We start from the raw sequence: 25,596 nt of genomic DNA, 5'->3' as shown, positions 1-25,596 counted from the left end.
AGGAGGATTTTGTAGACTTCACTTTGAAATAACAGTCCTCTTGAAAGGTATCCCTGTAATTCAAAGAATGAGAACGCATTCATTACAATGTGAGTTGAAAGGCGGCATCAAGTTATCCCATGGACATCCCTGTATTGTAAATGAGGCACAGCTTTGTCACAGAGAGGCTGGAATTGAAATTGGAAAATTGGAAAAGAAGTTTCTTCTCTGTTTCTTGAGGATAAACCTGGTGATGTGTTATCTCCCTGTCTCTCTCATCTGCTTATCTCTATTTTATCTCTCTCCATCTGTCAATTCGGTTTTCACATAGACCCAAATAAGGATGTAAATCCCAGCCTCAGTTATATAACAAGAATCACTTAATTGTTCCTAATCCAATTTTTTTTTTACTTTTATATTCCGTGTGGGGGTCCTGCAAATCTTTGTTACGTAGATAGACTCATGTCACATGGGTTTATTGTACAGATTATTTTGCCACCCAGGAATTAAGCCCAGTACCCCATAGTTATATTTTCTGCTCCTCTCCCTCCTCCCACCCTCCACCCTCACATACACCCCAGTGTCTGTTGTTCCCTTTTTGTGCTTATAAGATCTCATAATTTAGCTCCCACTTATAGGTAAGAACATGCAGTATTTGGTTTTCTGCTCTTGTGCTAGTTTGCTGAGCATAATAGCCTCCAGCTCCATCCATGTTCCCACAAAAGACATGATCTTGTTCTTTTTTATGACTACATAGTATTTCATGGTGTATATGTACCTTGTACAATCTGTCATTGATGAGCATTCAAGTTGATTCCATGTCTGCTATTGTGAATAGTGCTGCAATGAACATTCACCTGCATGTGTCTTTATGGTAGAACGATTTTTATTCCTCTGGATATACACCCAGTAACGGGATTTCTGGATCAAATGATAATGCTGCTTTTAGCTCTTTGAGAAATCGCCATCCTGCTTTACACAATGGTTGAACTATTTTCACTCCTAGTAACAGTGGATAAGTTTCCCCTTTTTTCTGCCACCTTGCCAGCGTCTGTTATTTTTTGACTTTTTAATAATAGCCATTCTGACTGGTGTGAGATGATATCTCATTGTGGTTTTGATTTGTATTTCTCTAATGATCAGTAATAATGAGCTTTTTTTCATATGCTTCTTGGCCACATGTATGTCTTCTTTTGAAATGTATGTGTTCATGACCTTTGCTTACATTTTAATGGGGTTGTTTGTTTTTTTTCTTGTAAATTTAAGTTCCTTGTAGACTCTGGATATTAGACCTTTGTCAGATGAATAGATTGCAGAAATTTTCTTTCATTCTGTAGGTTGTCTGTTTACTCTGTTAATAATGTCTTTTGCTGTGCAGAAGCTCTTGAGTTCAATTAGATCTCACTAGTCAATTTTTCCTTTTGTTGCAATTGCTTTTGGTATCTTTGTCATGAAATCTTTGCCTGTTTCTATCTCTAGGATGGTATTGCCTAGGTTATCTGCCAGGGTTTTTGTGAGTTTAGGGTTTTACCCTTAAGTCTTTAATCCCTCTTTATTTAATTTTCCTGTATGGTATAAGGATGGGGTCCAGCTTCAGCCAGTTATCCCAGCACCATTTATTGAATAGGGAGTCATTTCTCCACTTTTTTCTGTCAGCTTTGTCGAAGATCAGGTGGTTCTAAGTGTGTGGACTTATTTCTGGGCTCTCTATTCTGTTCCATTCATGTAGGTGCCTGTTTTTGTACCAGTATCATGCTGTTTTGGTTACTGTGGCCCTTTAGTATAGTTTGAAGTTTGGTAATGTGATGACTCTGGCTCTCTGGCTTTGTTTTTATTTTTTTGTTTGTTTTGTTTTGTTTTGTTTGCTTAGGATTGCTTTAGCTTTTTTCGTTCAGTATGAGTTTTAAAATCGTTTTTCTAGTTCTGTGAAGAATGTCTTTGGTATTTTGATAGGAATAGCATTGAGTCTGTAAATTTCTTTGGGCAGTATAGCCATTTTAATGATATTGATTATTCCTATCAATGAGCATGAAATGTTTTTCAATTTGTGTCATCTCTGATTTCTTTGAGCAGTGTTTGGTGATTCTCATTGTGGAGATCTTTCACCTCCCTGGTTAGCTGTGTTCTTGAGTACTTTATTTTTTTTCTGGCAATTATGAATGGGATTGCCTTTATGATTTCGCTCTCATTTGGCTGTTGTTGATGCATAGGCAGGCTGATGATTTTTATACATTGATTTTTTATTCTGAAACTTTGATGTTTTTCAGCCAAAGGAGCTTTTGGGCCAAGATTATGGGGTTTTCTAGATACAGAATAATGTCATTTGCAAAGAGAGATAGTTTGACTCCCTCTCTTCCTATTTGGATATCCTTTATTTCTTTCTCTTGTCTGATTGCTTTAGTTAGGATTTCCCTTAATTCAAATATTAATTTAAATATTTAATTCAAATACTTGTGAGAAAGAGAATTTGATTAATTTTTCCTATCCCTTGTGTTATTTTATCCTGGATCTCACATCCACCTTTGGTCCATCTCAGGTCCAGTCAGCTCTGATTTATGTCTGCTGATACCAACAAAGCAACAGAGGCTCTGTGTGTGTGTGTGTGTGTGTGTGTGTGTGTGTGTGTGTGTGTGTACATAGTAAGTGAGAAATGAATTTTAAAGCTAAACTACCCAGTTTTTCTTTCATTAATTGTTCTAGAGAGGTTTGTGAGTATTGTAATAACATTCTTAGATTATACCCATTGGTAATCCATCCTAATCAGTCCTCTCAATGAGTATTTGGCCATTAATTATACTGTGATGAAGTAAAATACTATATTTAAAGTTGTATCCATTACAAACTAAAGTAATGCCATTACATAAGGAGTAATCAGAAGAACCTTTGAGCCTCTACATTATTATAGGAAAGCAATCAAAACAATAACAAAAAGCAAAAACAAAAATATGATGATTAAATGAGATGAAAGGTGCCTGCCACAATGTTTGACACATAACTGGTGATTTTAAAATGTTATCTATTATTTTAATAATACTAAGTATATGACCCTGTTCCCAGAAGTTTGCTTGGAAATTAAGAACTCTTACATCCAGATAATCCCCTACCCCTCTCTTTACATATGTGAATTTTCTCATTTTTCAAAGTTCTCCTCAGTCACTACTTCCTATGTGAAGGTAGAGCTTATCAATCAAGGCTCACACATGAAACCCAATTGACTTTATTTTTCATCAGGTGCTTCATTTGCATGATACACAATATTTATATGTTGTAAGATGTACAATTATTTGTAATCTTGCATATTATTTATTTTATTATTTGCTATTTTATTTTTTGTATGTCTGTGACCCCTCATTCTATACCTAAATTGTGAATATCCTGTAAACAAGGGCTAAGACATATAGTCCACACAATATCCATCATTGCACTATATGTTTGGGTGCAAGCATTCATATGATTTCTAGCAGGAAATTGTAGATAGCTAATTTTAAAAGGAATTTTTTCAGTGGAATGGGACAAGGAAATAAAGTAATTTTAATAAAAATTTAATTTGAGATATAAATTTGCTAAAAACTATTTTCTATGACAAAATGTTTGTTGCCCTCAGTTATATAGCTGGGTTTTTAGGAATTATAGGACTACTGAATAACTGAATGATCTTGTTCCTTTCCAAGTCTTAGATTTTAGTTTATTTCTGCAATACACACACATGCACACACACACACACAAAGATTTCTTTTCTAAAATGATCATTAACTCCTCCACAATTTTTGTGGCAAGCCACAATGATACATAAATGTCTCAATTTTGCTAGTAAAGTTCAATTTTGAAACTCTATGTGCTTTGATCATCTGATGTTTATATGTTGCTAACGTGTTCAATCACTTCCATATGAGAGATGGATGAAGAAGAAGTCCAAATAATTATTTAGTTTTGAAACATTCTAGGCAAAAATGTCACTTATTTTAGTCATTTGTTTTTTTATGCTCCATTTAAAAAAAAAATGCTTCATTGTTCGCATGACGTCAGTGTTTCCAAAACTTCTACATTGATAGTAATCATTGGGAACACGGAGCTTCCTGTCTTTCCCTGGGAGATTCTGAGTTAGCGACTCTTAGGTGGAAGTTGTAATTTTAACAACAGTTTGTATTTTTAAATGTAACTTATATTCTGGCAGAATTTTAAAAAATACCTAAGGCAATTGTTAACATCCAGGAAGTTTGGAGAAACATCCGTATGAAGCAGTTATTCTTTTTGTCTGTTTCCATCATTCCTAGTTACCAACCTTTGTGGGCTTCACCTAACATAATCACTAGTTGTATTGAGAACACCTTTTTTTTCTTTCTTTTTTTTTTTTTTTTTGGGACGGAGTCTCTCTCTGTCGCCCAGGCTGGAGTGCAGTGGCACGATCTGGGCTCACTGCAAGCTCCGCTTCCCAGGTTCCCATCATTCTCCTGCCTCAGCCTCCCGAGTCCCTGGGACTACAGGCGCCCGCCACCACGCCCAGCTAATTTTTTGTATTTTTAGTAGCGACGGGTTTCACCGTGTTAGCCAGGATGGTCTCAGTCTCCTGACCTCGTGATCCACCCGCCTCGGCCTCCCAAAGTGCTGGGGTTACAGGCGTGAGCCACCGCGCTTGCAAGTTGGATTTAAAGGTACGAAAGCAATTAGAGTGTATTAAGCTTCTTTTAATGGCAAAGAAAATCACTCACCTGAAAGTATTGTTAGCTGTTGAATTGTCTTCATTGCTTTTAAGATATTTCTAATTAGAACAATTTACTGTCCTCAATCAATTATGTAGGGATCCTACAGATTTTATTTCAGGGACTATCCTGAAAGCACATTACTCATCTATGGGTTTATTTTGTTATTGTTGTTTCGATCCTTTCAAAGTGCACTTTGAAATTAAATTGGGTTTCTGGGAAAAGTGGAAAGCTTTGAACTTCAGTAGTATCGTTCATGTCACGTAAAAATAAAATGGGGATCATATGTTGCTCAGTTCTTTTCAATACATACCTACCTCTGGTCTTTTTTTGTTTTTATTTTTTTCGTTTTTATTTTTTTCATTTTTGATGCCTACTTATGGTTCACTCTGTAATCCACAATCTTTACAGGTATTCTTGGGGCTTGAATATATTTGAACTGCTGAGCACAGAGCCTGTAAAGGAGAGGATGCTCACAGTGGGAAACCATTTTCCTGAGAAATAAATGTACTACAGAAAATTTAAATTGCTTCCATTTTTTCACAGTGCTATTCTGTTAGTAAAACTAAGACATGTTCTTCGTTGTTATTTCTAGGTTTGAATCCCCTCTGTTCTAAGAGCTTTACAATTCTCTTTCTTATTTCTATTTTGAGTAACAAGTTTGACCAAATGTTCTTCCTGGTGCAGCTGCCTGGACCCTACTGTTTTGGCTTTGTGCTTCCATCTCACAGTAGATACACACACACACACACACACACACACACATACATTTTTTTAACTTGGACTACATGGAATGATGAGAGTATTTAATTTTGACTCTTTCATTGAAGTAATTAGGAAACTCTAGGGTTATTCTGATTTGACTCCATGTCTAGCCTCCCTGGTCCTATCCTCTTAGCTGTTAATGATTGCCATTTGTGTAAGATGAGTTCTTAAAACAGAGTTGTTACTAATAAGCAGTTTTACACTTGTACAAAATTTATTCCCTCGGATTTCAAAAAACAATATTTGAAGATATTCTTTTAAAAAAATCAAACTGAAAGGAATTCCTTTATAGGATGTAAAACTCTGTGAAATAAATAGCAATCTATACCTTTCTTATTTAAAGGTTTATAATTAATGTGTTTGGACAACAATGCACAACATTAATATATGCTCTCAGGCTTGAGCTGTCTGCATTTCTGATGATGGGACTTATTGGCCTGTGTGGTTTTAGAGTCATTCCAAGGCGAACAATGGATCAGGGATACTCATATTATCCTTTGTCATAGTCTATTTGACAATCACCACCTAGAACCAGGGGCCCCCTGGGTTCTGTTTTCAGTACACCATGGCATGCCATTATGTAATATCCCATCTTCTAAAGAAGACACATCCTTGGATGAGCCTCATGAGTTGCCAAAATATTACTGTATAAAATTATATATATTATCTCCCAACACTTACTATAACTTTCTTTTTCATCTTTCGTTATGAATTTTGCAAAAATTTATATATCTTTTTCCCTTTTTTATAGTAATTCTTTCCCCTCTCTTCTCTGTGTCTCATCTAAATAAGTAAGTCTAATGTTTTTCTAAAAATAGAAAGGCAAAAATACACCAAATTGTAAATGTTGTAATACAGTGCTTATGTTTTACATTTCTTCTCTCAGTTATAACCTTTCTTTTGTTTCTACTTAATCCTCAGACTATTTTGAAATCATTTCAAACCTTCTTTACTCTTTTTTTCCTTCGTGTATCCATGTTTACAGGCAGAGCAGGAAAAGTATTTACTTATGACTTATCATCATTTAAAGAATCAAAGTTTGTAATGCCTAAAACAGGAACAAGATGTCCTCAGAATATTTTCTGTATTAGGCATATCTAAAAAGAGAATTAAATCTTTTAGGAGTCAATTTTAATAATGATGATGACTGAGAATGAAGAAAATGATATCACCTTTCATCGTTAAATATTAGAATCAGATCAATGAAAATATTTATTTTGAAATTTTGAAGTTAAAAATAACAGATACAAATTAAGGTAGACAGCCACTACTATATTGAGAAATCCACTCTTTTTTATTATTATACTTTAAGTTTTAGAAATCCACTCTTGATCATTCAAAAATAAATTGCCTGGTTTGAAAAATTTAATTCTATTCTTCTTTTCCTATTTCTGGTCACTACTCTGAAAATAATTCTACTTCATAGCATTTTTATAGAACTTGGGAGAAGCAGCTACCATAACACATAAATCAGTACATTTCGGTATTAATTCCATAACAATTTTGATAAGACTAATAGTGTTTGAGACAGAGAATAATGAAAGAAAATGCAGTTAATTTGAAGTTTTCCTTTCAATATGTAATTTCACTTTAAGAGTTTAATATATCCTGTTACAACTGTCTCCTACTGATAAAAATAAAAAAAACCCACACCTGCACAAAGGAGAAAGCAGAAAAGAAATAAAACAGGAAAGAAGGAAGGAAGGAAAGAAGGAAGGAAGGAAGAAAGAAAGAGAAGGGAGGGAGGAAGAGAGGGACGGAGGGAGGGATGCAAGGAAGGAAGGAAGGAAGGGAAAGGAAAAGATGGAAGGAAGACGACTGATTGAAAAATCTATCTCTCAATTCTGAAAAAAAAAAAAGTGAAACTAATGGTTAAACACTAACCACAATATGAGAGGAATTCTTCATGCTTTAAAATAGTACAACCCAGCCTCCTAAATTCTTGGGGATGCAGGACCTGTACTATGGAGAAAACCAGGCCACTGTCTTATACCCCAAACCTCCAGGACCTATGCCAGCCTTCGGAGGTAATCCTTCTTGAGAAAGTAAGAGTCGTTTTCCTTTCACCCATCATCAGTAAGTCAACAATTCAAAGACATCAAGAATAATGGAGGGGGAATTGATGGCATCACATTTCCTTCTGGAGGTGTATTTCCAGCATAAAATGTTCTGCAGAACAGTAGAAATAGGCTGAGCCATAGGCATTTAGAGATTTTTCTGGTCAAAGAATTATAGACGGCCTTAATTTCACTAGGACATAAATACTTCTCTCCCTAGTTAAAGAACTATTGAAGGGCAGAAGAAAATATACCTTCATCCCACAGAACCATACTAGATAAATTTCTGGCCATTGCTGGAAATTGAACTGGAAGCGCTGCATCTCAACCCTGCCATGAAGTGGTATATTCTTTCAGTCCCAGAGGACAAGAGTGCAAAGATTAATTCACACATTCCTTTCTTCAGTTAGAAAATTTTTTCTTGTTTGTTTATTGTATATATTAAGGGTGCACCTTGATGATTTGATATGTGTTAATGTTGTGAAATAATTACCACAACCTAGCTGATTAACAGATCCATAAACTCTCATAGTTACCTCTCAGTGTGTGCTGACAACACTTAGGATCTATCCTCTTAGCACATTTCAAGTATACACCAGAGAGTTGTTACCTATGGTCACAATGCTACACATTAGATCTTCAGAACTTACTCATCCAGCATAACTGAAACTTTGTACCCCTTCACCAACATCTCTCCATTTCCCCCTCACCGCAGTCCTTTGTAACCACCAGTTTACCCTCTGCTCTCACCATACACAAAAATCAACTCAGAATGGATTGAAGACTTAAACATAAGACCTGAAACAATAAAACTTCCAGAAGGAAACCATGAGGGGAAAACTGCTTGATATTGGTCTTGGCAATGATTTTTTGCATATGATGGCAAAAACACAGGCAACAAAAGCAAAAATGTAAGTGGAACAATATCAAACTAAAAAGCTTCTGCTCAGCAAGGGATACAACCAACAAAGTGAAAAAGGCAACTGAATAGGAGAAAATATTTACAAACCATATGTCTGATAAAGAATTCATATCCTATATATAAGAAACACGTGTAACTCAGTAGCAACAAAACAACCTGATTTAAAAATGGCCAAAGTGCCTGAATAGACATTTTCTCAAAGAAGACTTACAAATGGCCAGCAGGTATATGCTCAATATGTCATTAACCAGGATATCATGACAAGATTAAAAAAAAAAAAAAATATGGGGAAGACATCTTATGGAAAAGATAAAAAATTAAATTAATTGCATAAAAATGAGCACTATCCTCTTAACCACTTGGAAGAAGAATGAACTTGTGAAAATAATAACAGTAAATGATTTTACAAAATATGTGCTCTTGTCATTAGAAAAATAATAAAAGTTAAACAAACAAATAAACAAACAAAAAAAAAAAACAGAAAAAAATGACTCTGTGGCCTGAGAAGGAAAATCATTAATAAAAGGTTAAAATTATGTTTAAAGCACATAGACGGACTCAGGCTAAGATTTTTTTAAAAAAGGAAATAAACTAAATTTTTTAAAAGTAGCTGAAAAGGAAAACGAAAATGACATAATTAACTCCAAATTCGAGGCAAAGAACAGTCGAGTTAACATTGTAGAATACAAGTCATATTGAGGAACACTGTTAGAAGTTAACTCAGAATGTCTTCTTTGGAGACAGTATATTATCTCCTCTCTCTCTAAACATTTTTGTTTTCTAAATTATTGTTTATACCATTTCAGAATGGCTTACCACATAGCGTCTTGAATTCAAATTTCTTCATGCCTTAATTCTCAATTGTATTTTAATTTACGAAGGGTAATGAGTTTGTACTAGTGTATTTCTCATTGCATTTATTAAATATTTGCAGAAAGTGTGCCTTTTAAAATGCATGCTCTCAAGCAGTATACCTGTCTAACAAATCTGCATGTATATTCCTGAATCTAAAATAGGAATTGAAATTATTTTTTTAAATGCATGCTGTTTGATGATATGTGACTAATATTTCCTTTTATGGGAGAATATATTCCAAGAAGAAACATTAAATTTTCTCATTCAAAGTTGGTAGTAAAATATGTATGTTAAAATATTTACCATCAGTACAATTATCTAACTCCATTAGCTAATTCAGACCTTTTGACTGTGTGTGTTGGCTCATATGTGCTTTATCAGAATATTCCTTCATTATTCTCTCTAACACCAAGTTCAGCCAGATGTTGTAGTATGTCAGCTTTGGTTCTAAAGATCTTATTATACTGATTAATCTAGAATATCTGAGGTGCTGACCAGAGTCTACATAGAGCATGAGGGTTTGTTTTTTTTTTTGAGTATACTCCAAGTGTTTCTCTTAAGTAAATTTATTCAGTAAGACCTAGTGCTACTTGTAACCAGAACATATTCACACAGAGTCACTATATTTCTATTGCTCCTATATCAGCAACTTTGAGAAAAGAAGCCCTTTAATTTCAAACATCGTATTTCTTTCTTCAAAGAGTTTATTCCATTTAATCGTGTGCATTTATTTATCTCTCACAAACGGGCATTCTAACATCCCACTTGTCTAATGATTTGTCCACTATCTTATAGTTTCACACCTATATAACTCTTTTAAAAGGTAAACAATTGGCCGGGCATGGTGGCTTATGCCTGTAATCCCAGCACTTTGGGAGGCCGAGATGGGTGGATAACCTGAAGTTGGGAGTTCGATACCAGCCTGACCAGCATGGAGAAACCCCGTCTCTAGTCTCTACTAAAAAAAAAAAAAAAATTAGCCAGGCGTGGTGGTGCATGCCTGTAATCCCAGCTACTTAGGAGGCTGAGGCAGGAGAATCACTTGAACCCAGGAGGCAGAGGTTGCGGTGAGTCGAGATGGCACCATTGCACTCCTGCATGGGCAATAAGAGCGAAACTCCTTCTCAAAAAAAAAAAAAAAGGTAAACAATTTTCTTGCTCACACTGACTCAATTGTCTATTTTAGGATAAGCATTATAATTCTTGACAACTTTTCCATTATCTCTTAATAATCTAAAATATTATATCCCCTAAAGTCATATAAAAGGCAATAGAAATAGAGGGCTTGTCCTTCCCTCCTTTCCTTCTTTCACTTACAATGCTTGTTACAAACTCATTCAAGTAATCTCAGTATTTTTTTCACAGCCCATTCTCACTCATGTTCTTTCTTTCTTTATTTTAATTTTTATTTTATTTTATTTTATTTTACTTTATTTTTTGAGACAGAGTCTCACTTTGTTGCCCAGGCTGGAGTGCAGTGACATGATCTTGGCTCACTGCAGCCTCCACTTCCCAGGTTCAAGCGATTCTCCTGTCTCAGCCTCCCGAGTAACTGGGATTACAGGCACCCACCACTATACCTGGCTAATTTTTGTATCTTTAGTAAAGAAAGGGTTTCACCATGTTGTCCAGGCTGGACTTGAACTCCTAACCTCAGGTGGTCCACCCACCTAGGCCTCCTAAAGTGCTGGGATTACAGGCGTGAGCCATTGCACGCAGCCTCTCACTCATACTCTAATATTTAACCTTCAATTTACATTCACTCATAAGTATTGAAAACCAAACAAAACTACTGTTACTACTGTTTCTTTGTCTTATATTCAAGATTACTTGGTAAGTCATTTTTTGTTATCTAATATTTACTATGCCTTTTTAGGTTGATCTCTTTAATGTGCCACTCTTTTACATGCTTCTTCCCCTATGCTTTTTTGAGACAGAGTCTTGCTGTGTCATCCTGGCTGGAGTAAAGTGGCATGATCTTGGCTCACTGCAACCTCTGCCTCCTGGGTTCAAGCAATTCTTGTGCCTCCGCCTCTCAAGTAGCTGGGATTACAGTCGTGTGCCACCACAGCCAGCTAGTTTTTGTATTTTTAGTGGAGATGGGGTTTCACCATGTTGGCCAGGCTGGTCTCGAACTCCTGACCTCAGGCGATCCGCCCACCTCGACCTCCCAAATTGCTGGGATTATAGGCGTGAGCCACCGCACCCGACTGCAATGCATTCTTAAAAACTAGATAATATATATCCATACACACCTTCAGGTTCATTTTGGCTTATTATTTTGTACAACAGAAATGTTACAAGTTGCTTCATTATTCTCGTCTATATAATGTCCATGCTTTATCATCTAATGTTCATATTTTTTAAAGGTATTGCATGATATTGTTTTCTCATCTTTCTAGACTATTTAACAAAGTTGAATGAAGTGATTATACATATATAAATGCCTTTCAATCACACTGTTATATCCACTTCTCCACTGTGGTTATTAGTGTTCATTTGTGAGTGCTATCTTCCCAACAGTCCCCATTTCCAGGAGTGAATGTCTCCTTGTTATTCATATTTAATCTTTTCTCAAAGTCATCTTTGCTTGGAAGAATGTGGAATTATCTCACTCAAAAGAATGGATTCCAGGTCTGCAGACATCCTGAAAGAAAATTTTTATCATTCATTACTTGAGGGAATCATTCAACACACTTTCAGGTTTTTAATTCCACCCATTATAATAGGTGCCCATAAGCTAACATCTCAAACAGAATCTTTTTATCAAGACACCACCACTGTTAAACCTGAGAAATTATTATAAGCTCAGAGAATCAGGTACATGTGTAAAAGCTTATTCTTACAGAATGTGAAAACTATATACACAGTTTTAAAAACAAAACAAACAGAGAATGAATAATAATCTTTTATTGATACCTTAAGGACATTAAATAGTACTATCGAATTAGCTTGTAGATGATTTTGGTCCTGTGTTTTATGTATTTAAAGTATTAAAGAAATATTGAGGTTATAAATATACCATGGCCCAGTCATTCCTCTTCCTATAAGGCAGAATGTAAAACATCATTATTTATGATAAACAATACTGCTTTTTTTTCACCCAACTTCCCCTTCATCGTAAATAAACATTGATGCAGTTCAGAGGGAAAGAGAAAGTCTGTCACAAGAATGTCATTTGCTCTGTCAGACATCAAAAATTAGAGTTGGCTGCCTATGACACTCTCCCACCTCCCTGGATGAGATGAAGTGTCAATCAATCACTTGGATCAGCAGCCTAAAGAACAAAGAGGCTACATTTATTAAGCTAAACCTCCCTATTGGGGGCCGTTTTCACAATTCTAGTAGCAGAGGGAGTACATAATCTATAATATGACAAATCAAAGATTTCAAAGTAATGTATGCTATAATTTTAGCATGACATTTAACATCTGCTACATCATCTTTTAACATGTTCATCTACATGGCTTAATATTCCATGAGATTAGAAGACTCACAGGAGCAAAGATACCCCTTCCTATTTCATCAGCTAACTCTAGTTCATGGAACTCACTGCACCTGATAGGTGTCAGTGCTCACCCAAAATCAGATCTCATCAGACATTTCCAACTGCTTCCACCTCTTTAGCTCCTTTTATAAACTGGCTATAGATTAGTCAATTATTCAGAGCTTAACAAAGAATTTCAGATAATTCTATAATTAAAACAACTCATCAGAATGACTGCTCTGAAATTTAGTTAACTAATATCCATAAGATCTTTACTTTTTTGGCTTGAAATTATGAGATTTCAAACCTTGTACTTTTCAATTTGGCTCATAGATGAGGATTAGAGTTGGACAGTGGTCTGATCAGGAGGTAAGAAATTACCAAGAAGAGTGAGAAATGAGTAAAACAGACTTCTAGACAGTTCAAGATTTACTCAGAATTTACTATGTGAGGGAGATGATTATGATACTTATTTCGGTTATCTTTCACTGAGTAACAAATCACTCCCAGATTTAGTGTCTTAGAATGACATAAATTTATTATTTTTCACAAGTCTGCAATTAGAGCTTTGAATTTGTCAAAGACAAAAGACTTTAATATGCTTTGAAACTCTACAGCACCCCTTTGTAAGGAAAATTTTTATATTTAAATATGAGAAAGAAAAGGAATTTAAGAAATATGACAAAGCTGGAATAATCAAAAGTAAAGCCCAGGCCTAATCATCAGTTGATCATACTTGAAAAGGTAGCCTTTACTTAAAGTTACTCTTTTGACATTTCTTCCATTTCTATAAATGTATATATTAATAGAGCATGTAATAAATTATAATATTATTACAGAGCCAGACCATATGAAATACTTTAAACTTTATTAGAAAATGAGAAATTATTATAATTTTTATAACTTAAGGTAGACTGTTATAATTAACCCCAAATTATTAGTGACATAATATAATAAAACTATATATTTCCCAGCAATATAACAGTTACTATAATGTGCCTGTAAAGTTGGTGGCCTTCCACAATGTGACTCATGGTCTCAGATGCCTTCAGTCTTATGTCTCTACCTTCCACTAGAACAATGTAATTTTTGCCTTTTAACCAGAGCACAAAAAATGAGAGCATGGTAAAGATATAAAAATTTCTTAGCTATTTTGTCTTAGTATTAATAAATATCCCTTCTGTTAACATTCTATTGGAGAATTAGTTAAATGACCCCATCTAGAATGCAATGGGACTGGGAAATGTATCCTTGGTTAGACTAGTGCTAAGGAGCAACAGTTCTGTTTTTAAAGGAGAGCACAAATCTTTGGTAGACCACTGGTCATTTCTGTTGCAGTATGATAAAAATCTTTGTTTTGGAAGAATTCCTAAAGGTCATCTGTTATAACTATATGTCTGATAGTTGAGTCCTTTTTATGAAATCCAGTACAGTGGCCACCTAGCCCAGAAGGTCTCAATATGTCAGAACATAACTGGTATATATCCACCATTTAAGAGAGAAGTTGAAATTTTAAAAGTAACTAAAAAATAATGTCTTAAAGTTTTCATAGGATTTACTTTTGTCATGATATAGTTGATTTCATTCATTGTTACCTTTATTCACATTCAAGTTTCTTCTGTATTCAAGTAATATGGCAAAATACTACATAATCTACAGGCCATCCAATCTATTTATTGGATCCCTTCAGCAAAATGTGGGGAATCTTATGAACATGTTTTGAATGTCTACATCATGCATCAGTATGTGTAAGTTTGTGTGGTGGGGGAGGGCACTGAGAAACTTTTGACCTGCCTATACATGTGTGATAGCCTGCTTGTTACCACTCAATGCTGCTTTTCCCATCTTTAAAGAATCCTGTTCAAAATATTTCTTTTTAGCTATTAAAAACATGTCTTCTTTAAGATTTTGCCCTTGAAAATGTGCACCATATTGAGCAAATCTAGTGCCTTTCCATAATGGCATCCCTCAAAATGTACCCAAAGAAGTTATCTATCTCCAATTCCTTCAAACCAGTACAAGATATACTTTCTGACTATTCATATCATTCTCCTCTAAACATTACTGAGTCTTTCAAAGGAATTCTCTTCTTTGCCTGTATATATTTCCATTTGCTTAATTTGTGTCAGTGTGGGGAAATGGCAAACGTTTTATTGTAACATATATTACTACATTTTCATTTACATAGAGGAGGATAAAAAAATCCACTGGGCAGGACAGAAATCTCATTATATTGAACAGCTAGCTGCCTAATGTATTCACTGTTATCCCTATGTAGTTAACAAAGATGCACAGAGAAATCTTGTGACTAAAACTGTCTTTATTACTACGTAGGTTTTTGGCCCATTAAATGCATCTATTTTCTCATCTTGGTAGACTGTCACATATACATTAGCCTCAAAGATTCCTTTAGTTTATGTTAAGATTAGAAGGAAGCTTTAGCAGTCAGTTCCACATTCTCTTTTCCCAGAATCATATCCTGTTATCTGTGTGGCTTCCAAAGACAGGGAAATCTAGGTTTCTCAGAGTCCATTTTAGTATACCAGGTATATATGTTGGAAATGAGCAAAGTGATCAGGAAAAAAAATCAAAACATTCTTTTCCATTCAAATCTATTTATGATCACTTCATTCCTTCCACAGATTCACTAAAGTTTTTCCCTTATCCCAGTTTCCTTCTTTGGGTATTCTTAAAGAACCCTTGATAGACTTGGTTCAAATTAGAGATCTTCTTCCCTGAGTAGGAGAGAATGACCTCCAGCTACTTCCTAAGGTTATAGTGTATGGTGCTTAGCAAGTCTTTAAAACCTACAGGTAGTAAGCCTTATTTCAGTGATTATGAAGGAGGAGTCAGAGGGTTGTAGTAGTGGAGACAGACAGGGAAGAATCCACTGAGGTACCTTTTCTAGGGAGTAGCTGCCATTTTAGTATCCCTTTTGTGGTGAGCCATGGTTACTGGCATGTGTCATCTCTCTCAGAAGAGTTAGAGAATAGAAGAAGTTGAGAGCACCTGCCCCATACAACTGTTAATTTAATAGTGCCTCAGCTAAGTAAGAATTTTTAATTTGAATCCTTCAGGTTATTTGAAAAGCAAGTCCTTCAGTTCTCTATTCATTAACCTTTATTATAAATTCCAATCACAATCACTTGAAAAAATTAAACTACTCACCATTTTTTGCAACAATTGCACTTCCCTTCAGCTTGAAAATAAGGAGTCCTTATTCATATTAACTAATACAACTTTTTTCCCCGTTATTATAAAGGCTATATGTAACTGTCCTGAAGATCCTAATGCATCACATTGTAGTCAGTTCTCAAAAATGTCTTCATAAATTCTCATAGATGCAATAAGAATAGTTCAAAATGACAGTTGATGAAAAACAGATGTTATCATTTGACATTGAGATTTTTAAATTTTATCCTTACATTTCATTTGGAGAATCTCTTCAATATCTTTAATAATGTTAATGATGTCATTGTCAATATAGCACTGCTTGGAAATTATTTCCCAATTTCTGACTAGCAACTCCTCTGCAACTCATTTGAGGCTGGAAATAGATGATGCTCATTTAAGTCTGATCTGTGAGATATACCTTTCTTCTGATTGCTTTGCCTTGGGGGATACTATTTTATGTGTTTCAAAGGATTTTGCTGAGAGAAAATAAAGAGAGAAAAGTGACAACTCTACAAAGTTTAATATTTAAATGCACTGAGGGTCTAATATTTGTTACCACATGCTAAGTCCCATTTTAAGAAAGGAGTAAACCTCAAATCCATTTACCATATAAAAAGCTATCTGTACTAAAAAAAACCTTCAAATGAAGATAGATATTAAGAAAAAAGAATATATGTGGTAATGCATGTGTTAGTTAATTATAATGAAACATTGCACTATATATATATAGAAAACATCGTGCACAATAAATGTATCACTTCTATGACAGTTTTTAAAAAGTAGTGACTAAATTGTAGCAAAAGAACATATAGGTTGTCTATCTGTCAATGATGACTGCAAAAAAAATGAAACAATTTGAATTTATGGAGTCTGTTTAGGCTATGTAAAATTTTTTTCACATTTTTAGGTAGCAACTCTTTTTAAATGACGAGTTTTTGTTTTTGTTTTTGTTTTTGCATAAGAAAGCACATTCTGACCAAGATTCTGGAATATTTTCACAAAGCATAAAAAAGTTGGTCGATGTCTGCCTAGGTAGCTTTGCTTTTGCTCTGCATGATTATGTATATTTAGAAAACCTGAAACCATTTTTTTCTATCTTTCATGTTATTTTTTGGCTATCTAGTTAGTTACAAAATGAGATACTAGTATTATATGGCTCTCTCTAGCTATAGTTTTAATGTTATTAACCTCTTAAGTGTGTTTAACTGTCTGTCAAATCTATGTAATTTAAGAAGGTAAATTAAATGATTTCTAAGTTGACTTTTATTTACAAACAAAAAGTTATGCTCCTTTGAAATAAAACAGTCACTGTGGCCAATTCTCATCAGTCCCTACTTATGAAAAGACTATAATAGGCACAAAAAATAGTTAAGAATATGTTCTAAATTTATTTATAGTAGAGGTGAGTCTAATAGTCTACTTTGCTCCTTCTGTAGCAAAGTCCTCATTTATTTCTGCTTGAGACCCATAAGCAACTCGAATTTAAAATATGAAATATGCTTTTGTTGGTATAATAGTGTTTAAATGAAAGTATACTCTTCAGACACAAATAGCATTGAGGAGTTTCCAAAAGTAAAGAACAAAAAAATGCCATATGCCTTCACATTTTTAGGAATGGTGCTGGACTACTGTTGCAGGACAGGCAAAGACAAAATGCTAGTTTAATGAGTCCTGGCTGTTCATCTAATTTTAAAGTTGAAGAATCTAATGGAGTTAAGATTCGTCTGGAAAGAACTGGAGAAATGCTTTCTTTTCACCTATTATCATCTGTTTCTACCAACACAATACTTGTGGCACCAAATGTGTAGGATTTTTCCTCATATCAGCAACCAGTTCTCCAACTCTCTGGACACCAACTGGGTAACCTACAATTTAATGAAATTCTGACACTAACTATCTGGAGTTAGTATCAGATCCTGCAAGCTAAGGACTCCGTTCCACATGACTGCCTTCACTTCAGATGCCAGCTGCAAGTCCTGGACCACTGAAACTTTTGACCAACTAGCAATAAATGCAGGGGTTTCCTGCAATCTCTTTCTTACGCTTGATAATTTGCAGCATAAGGAACTCAGGAAGACACTTTATTTACTATTACTGTTTTATAAAGCATACAAATGAAGAGCGCTTTGAAGAGGTTCATAAAGAGAAGTCCAAAAGTGAGCCTCTGTCCTGCTAACTTAGGGTACACCACCCTTTCAACATATGGAAGCATCACCTGTCTGGAAGTTCTCCAAACCTCATTACTAAATCTCAGCTCCTCTTCTCTTCCAAGAAGTTGTGGGGAGTGGTATTAAAAGGTTGTTGATTGGAGTGGGGGGATTGAAAGTAGACTTCGGGCTGGGCACAGTATCTCACGCCTGTAATCCCAGCACTTTGGGAGGCCAAGACAGGCAGGTCACTTGAGGCCAGGAGTTCGAGACCAGCCTGGCCAACATGATGAAAACCCTGTCTCTACTAAAAATACAAAAATTAGTTGAGCATGGCAGCACATGCTTGTAATCCCAGTTGAGGCATGAGAATTGCTTGAACCGAGGAGGTGGAGGTTGCAGTGAGCAGAGATCTTGCCACTACCCTCCAGCCTGGGTGACAGAGCAACACCCAGTCTGAAAAAAAATAAAATAAAATAAAATAAAATAAAATAAATAAATAAAGTAGGCCTCAAATAAAGCTTCATCTTTCTGGAAACCAAAAGCTATCCTTCTCACCAAGACCCATCTCACTAGAATAAGAGGGATTGCTATTACCCAGAAAATTCCAAGGAATTCAGGAGCTCTTTGTCACTCTGAAAGACACTCTTATCACCCCACTCAGGAAAATACAAGCGTTTTAGGAGCCTTCTGTCAGGAACAAGGGACCAAGATCAAATACATATTTCTTATTTTACCACATATCCTCCAGTCAAATGAGAGAATTTTAGAGGAGCCTAACGCCCTGATATTTTATTTCTGCCTGAGAAATTTAGAGACAATACGCTTTGACTGGAGCTGTGTCCTCATCTATGAGAGAGCTCACTGCATTAGGAGTGAAATCATTTCTACTGATGGTAAGAACAAAAGTCTACATTTCCCATGGATGATAATGGATCACAGGACTGGGAACCATCTACAGTGAACTTAACGAGAATTTTGCTAGGACTGCTGTCCGGAGGCACCAAATCTCTGTAGAGTTGACTACTGTATGCCCCCATAGAATGTTAAGAATTGCCATCATAAATGACCAGCTAGAGAAGTTTATTGCTGTGTCTCCTGTCACTGTGGAGATTTTACATATAACCCACATAAGCATCCAACAACAGAAAACACAGCATTAGTATGGAAATACTACCATACAAGGCAGCCCAATAACCCACTGGCACCTGAGGCAACGAAGGAAGCCTTCTCCTTTTTCTTTCTTTGTCCCATTTCTTCCCTGCACTAACTCCCTAAATGGATTCAGAAACTGTGGCCAGGAAGCAGAGAGAGGCATTGGGATAGGCGTGAGATAAGAGCCTGACCTTTCTCTTGTCTTCAGCAAGAAACTTCCCAGGCTAGCAGTACCAAGCCAAGCCACAGTAGGGTATGCGGGAAAGTATTACCTTCTGTGAAGTCAGTAGCTCCCTGGACTAAACAGTTTTATTGCTAAAATGGTGATATTTAGCATGTGAGAGCAACATGAAGCTATTTTAGTATCAAGAAGTAATAGGAAAATATTTCATCCACAGGTTAAGGAAGAATGAGTCCATGGGTCAGGTTTAAGAGAATAGTGTGGGAAAAAAATAAGTTGTTTTCTGATTCTATACCATTGTGTTCAGCACATTCAATATAATGATTAGAGTCACTACAAGAATGCATGAGATTCATTCATAGTATGTGAATAGAATTCTGTTGTGCCACACTTAAGTCTGCAATAGAGGGGGGCTGAAATAAATATCATGGATATTAATATCACCAATTTAAATTTGACTTTAGAAAGTGGGTGCTCTCTGATCTCCCCCACCCTGTCTTTTACTTTTTTTAAAATTTTCTACATCCACATACCCTGGCTTAGGCTTTTTTTAATTTTACTTACTTCTGGGATCTAGCTAAGGAGATGCAGAATAGGAGAGTGGATGATCTCACTGACAAGTGGGAGAACTATCTTTTTGAACGTTATGTAAACTTCAGTCTTGCAAGTCTTCATCATGCAAGAATTTTTTTTTCTCTTTTTACCCTTATACACCGACAACACTCCCCACTTTCGTTTTTACAAAGAATTTTCTATTAAAACAAACCACCCACCAAAATATTTCTAGTATTTTCATTTATTTCACAGTGAACCATACCCTAAAGGAAGGGGAAACCTATAATATGACTGTTTAAGCTGTAGCTCTCTGTTTAGGCTTTTATGAGCTGTAATGAAACCAGGATAAATTCTGGGTCACAAACACATAATCATTCTTGCTAATAATGACTGATTCTGTAATCTTCCACTCAGATTTCTTGTATAATCTTCTCACATATAATTCCCAATGTATGAATATAACATTTTCCCCTGCTTCTTTGTGAGTAGGTAAGAAGACAAAATTCCCAAGATGTTTTTGCTTTGTTACCTCCAACCAAGTACTCATACACATCTTCATGTAAAATTTCGTCTTTAATAATTACACACAGGGATGACTCTCTGATAGAAGTTCTTAATTTTTTTAAGGAAGTGAGTAAAAAGTTGTACATAGGCGTGGGTTTGTGAGAATTTCTTGAAAAAATAATAGTTAAACAATTTTGCAGGCTAAGACTACAAAGCTATGTGCTTGTCACATAAGGTATTGACCCAGACTGCTTTGTGTGTCCCTACAAGAGTTATGGAAATAAATTATATTTTGTTCCATTGTTTCTATTTTTCAGCCATCGTACCTCTACTATTGTGGTATCAAGAAATTGAATTCCATTTCTGACTCATTGGTTTGCTTTTTCTGTTTGTGCTTGTCTTGTTCCAGACAATTTACAAAGGGACTACATGACATCCAAGGAAGTTGGTGTGCAGCAATTTTTCTCTTTGTTCCCTCCCCTTCTGCTTATCCCTCAAAGTATTCTTCATTTTCTTATTGTCACTATTTCTTATTGCTGTCCCTCTCTGGATTTTATTTTGTCTTATGAGTAAGAGTGGGTAAGAATACAAATTAAGAAATTAGTTACACTTGGGTTTTTTCAATAATTTTTTTCATGAAGCTTTTCCTTGTCACCTAATAACAAAGGAAGTTGGCGAACATGAACTCACAAATTAAAAAGAAAAAATAAAACTCTCTTGTTACAATTTAAATAGAGTATGCAAGGTGTGATTTGCAACTTAAAAGTTGTACTTGTTGTTTTGAATTCTGGGGATATATGAGGGAAAACATTTACTTTCAGAAGCTATAGATGCTTATTCTCTGAACAATGTGTGTAAACAGAAAAGGTCGCTACAGCCAGGTGATGAAGGTGGCCAAAAGCAGACATTTTTCCACGATCTTGCTGCTGTTTCAAGTGTGTTTTATCTCTTCCTTCCTTCTTTCTTTCTTCTTCCTCCTCATAGTCAACATTGATCTTCAGTGTGGGAATCAAATGCCCTACCACTGAACTTCACTTATCTTCAAAAATGGAGAAAGCATACCAGGAGACTTGAGGCGACAACCAGGATCAGTGTTTTCTGTTCTTACTTTTGTCCACCCATACACCAGGTTTAGCACTTACCTTTACACTAACCATCTTTTCCACTTTCTCTCTCCATGCATATCCTACAGAGTCTCACCTCAGAGCAGATACTGTGATAAAGTCTTAATCTCTGACTTATTAATTTTCTCAAATGCATCATTGTACATTTCATAATACTTTGAATATATAGTCCTTAGAAGTAGGTATTATGTCACTATTCAATTAGGTTATGGTATATGAAGATTTCAATGTACAACTCCTCCCTTTAAACTTGAGAAAAGTAAGGTTTAGCTGGTAAATCCAGTCTTAGTGACCTCTCATGGAGTGCATGATTCACTACTATTACAAGCTAAGACTATGAGGCTTAGTGACCATTACATCTAATTACTTACCGTCATCAAGTTCACCCTTCCATTTTTTTAAAGGTCTGGTGAATAATCAAGGTTTTAATACAAGATGACCCTTTTGAAAACCCAGAAGTCTTACATGCATGCTTTATGAATATAAGGTAAAAAGTTTTACTCCTTAGCAGGCGGCCTACAGGCAATCAAATCACCGTTCATTTAGAAGCAAGATGATCTCTCATTTAAACATGTACTTCTGTCCTTTTTCCACCATCTTTCCATGCCACCATAATGGTGCTCATGATTGTCCTGGCTGATGCTCTCAAGAGCAATAACAATGCTAAAAAGAGAGGCAAACATCAGGTTCTTATGGGGCCGTGCTCCAGAGCCATCATCTGGTTTCTCACTGTGATGATGAAGCGTGGTTACACTGGCAAATTTGAAATCATTGATGATTACACAGCTGGGAAAAGAGCTGCGAATCCCTCAGGCAGGTTAAACATGTGTGGCATGATTAGCCTCAACTTCGATGTACAACTCAAAGACCTAGAAAAATGGCAAAACAGTCTGCTCTTCTCCAGTCAGTTTAGTTGTATTGACAACCTCAGCTGGCATCATGGACCACAAAGGAGCAAGATGAAAGTGCACAGTAGGGAAAATCCTGGGGATTATTTTTCTAGGGATGTAATGCTTACAAATAAAATGCTCAATAGACAATAAACAAAAATAAAAGTAAAATAAACGTGTACTTCTTTAGTGTTTCTTATGTGCAAGAGCCTATGCTGTGGAAAAGATAGATGTATACCTTCAATAAAGTTATAATCTAGTAACTGTGTTTTGGCAAAAAGGGTGTCCCCAGAACCTATGTAGGAAGGAAAAGTACAACTTTCAGGGACAAGCCTAGGATTGAAGAACATCCTTGGGAGTTTCCAGGCAGAAGGCCTTGGACCCTCTCTCTTATGGATGCCGAAATTCCAACATTCACCTGAGACCTCCCTCTTTAGGGACATCCCTAGTCATATACAGGTGAAAGGTGTCTTTCTTTGCAAGGGGCAGCTTACTGATATCTCAATTTTTATTCTGGATTTATTATTATTTGAAATATTACAGGAATTTGAGGATGAACTTGGACAATTAGTACCATATTTGATATTCTTTTATTATAAAAACAAAATACAACATAAATGCATAATTTATGAACTGAATTATGCAATGGTGAAATGCAGAACAATGAATATTTATATAGTAAATATACGGAAACAAATACATATATAGAAAAGTCTAATTCTTTTAATTTTGTGAGCCAGTCAACACAATTACCATTTCTCATCTGTTTTGAAGCTAGAGCTCTCCTAGTGTCATATAGTAGTTCTCCATATCCAAGGGGGATACATTCCATCATCCCCAGTGAATACCTGAAACCTTGGATAGTACCGAACACAATTGCCACCAATTGGAACACATGTCTGTTCGTGTCTTCTACCCACAAATTTAATGCCTTTTATATCTTAATTGAGCATTTATCATGCACTCTGGACATAACTTTGGCAGTCTGAGGTGGAACAGCAAAACTGGCATGAATTTCTTTTTGCCTCTTTACAATTTCATGATCTCAAGATTTGTTCTCACCGTAGATCTTAGCAAGTTCAGCATACAATTTTTTGCTTTCCTTAAGTTGAGAACGTGCACTGTTTCATTTAAAGAAAGTACTTTATGGCATATCTTAATTGCTAGCGTCACTATTTTTGCACATTGCGGCCATGATTAAGTAAAATCAGGGTACTTGAACACAAGAACGGCAATTCAGTGACAGTCCATCTGATAACTGAGATGGTTAAGTGACTAAAGGGTGGGTAGCATAGACAACATGGGTACGCCGAACAAAGGGATGATTCATATTCCAGTGCAAGATTTTATCATGCTACTCAAAACAGCATGTGATTTAGAAGTTAGGAGTTATTTCTGGAAGTTTCCTTTTAATATTTTCAGACCACAGTTGACCAAGAGTAAATGAAATTGCAGAAAGCAAAACTTTGGATAAGCGGGGGCTCGAATACACAGATGTGGTATCCGCAGGAAGGTGATGGATGTGGGGATTAGAGTATATGCTGGGCTTCATGGTGCCTACATTCCGTTTGCTGTGCCTCACTATTTAATGCCTTTAAACTTTTGTTTGCCCAAGTAGGAAATGAGGGGTATAATAATACCTATAAGGTAGAATCATTGTGAGGATAAATTTGTTAATACTCTGCTCCTGCCTTCACTACTGACCTCATCTCCAGTGAGATTTCCTGCTTACATCACCTCAGTGCACCAGCCTCCTCTGACTAAGTCCCTGACCAGGTCATGTGCATCCCTGACTCCTGTGCTGGAAACTCCTGTCCTGTCTCCCTCTGCTGGAAACACTGAGCCTACAGACAACTGTTTGCCTTACTCTCTCATGTAGGTCTCTCTTCAGATGATCAGAGAAGCCTTTCTTGCTGTTTATTCACCATTAGGTCTGTACCATCTGGAACACTACCTGACACTAAACAGACACTCAATAAATGTAAGTTCAGTGAAGAAATAAATAAATATGTATACATACCTTAACCGACCACTTATCACAAAACAAGAACTCAAAGTATCCTCTCCATTGCCTCTATTATCAATTATATTGTTAAAAATTGATCCCAACCTATGATAAATCACATGACAAGTAGTGTTTGTTTGAGCCCCCACATTTTCTACACCACAAGCCTGTTTATCTTTTCTTCACTAGACTGCAGTGAAGGGTTTTTTTCTTTTCCTAAATAGAACCTTAAATCAATATACTTGACTGGGTTATCTATTTTCTGAAATCAAATAGGAAAATATTTGTTCTGTTGCACAGAATGTGTGCATTTGACACTGATTCTATCCCAAGATACATTGTGGCAGCTGTTTCTAATCATTCTCAGCTTTGTCCTCATGATATTGGGTCTAATTAATAAGTTTCACTAAAACTTCAAGTACTGGTTTATATTTCTATTAACAGTATTCTACCAATTGGCATAATAGCATATTTAACTTCTGTAGTTTATCTACCAAGTATATATTGTGATACTCTGCTAGTTGTCGTATGTTGTTTGTACCCATGACAAATCTGATTTTCAAAAAACTGTCAATTCCATGAGGAAAGGGAGTCTATATGGCTCCATAATATAACCTTGTACTTATTGATGCTTAATGTAAGTTTGTTGAGAACATATTTATTTATATACTTATTTTGGTAATTAGAGTTAGATTATCTCTTAATTTTCCTACTATGTCCTTCAGAATGTTTAAAAAATTGCTTTACTTCCGTCACTTATTTGACTTTTTAAAAATTTGCGCTTTTGCACAAATGTGCATTTTGAGCAACCTCAGTTGGTCAGTGGAATTTCAGTCAATGAAATCCAGCCAGCGGGTATTCATTGTGTTCCTGAAACCTCACCAGTCTGCCTGCTCCCTGTCCGGCTCAGTGCTACCTGCATTGTGAGCCCATTCTATTTCTGCTCTCCACACTTGGTTTCCGTGACCAGCTGCCCTTGTTATGTTGTTCTCAGTTTGGAAGTCCTTGACTCTGCTTGATCAAATCTTGCCTATTAAAGGATCTCATCAAGAGCTTTCTTGGCTCTGCTACTTTGCCTGATCACTCAGCTCAGAGT

General features: G+C 35.7%; 1 protein-coding gene and 1 pseudogene across 4 annotated transcripts in view; both read left to right on the top strand.

Moving 5' to 3' along the window:
• Window positions 1–25,596, top strand: part of MDGA2 (MAM domain containing glycosylphosphatidylinositol anchor 2) — an 835,983-nt gene that overhangs the window by 208,892 nt on the left and 601,495 nt on the right. The gene's annotated exons all lie outside the window — the stretch shown is intronic.
• RPS15AP3 (ribosomal protein S15a pseudogene 3) lies at window positions 22,190–22,643 on the top strand (annotated as a pseudogene).

This window comes from Homo sapiens, chromosome 14, assembly GCF_000001405.40.
Source record: "Homo sapiens chromosome 14, GRCh38.p14 Primary Assembly".
Classification (NCBI taxonomy): domain Eukaryota; kingdom Metazoa; phylum Chordata; class Mammalia; order Primates; family Hominidae; genus Homo; species Homo sapiens.
The sequence above is the reverse complement of the archived record's forward strand: the minus strand, read 5'-3'. Positions and strand labels throughout refer to the sequence as shown.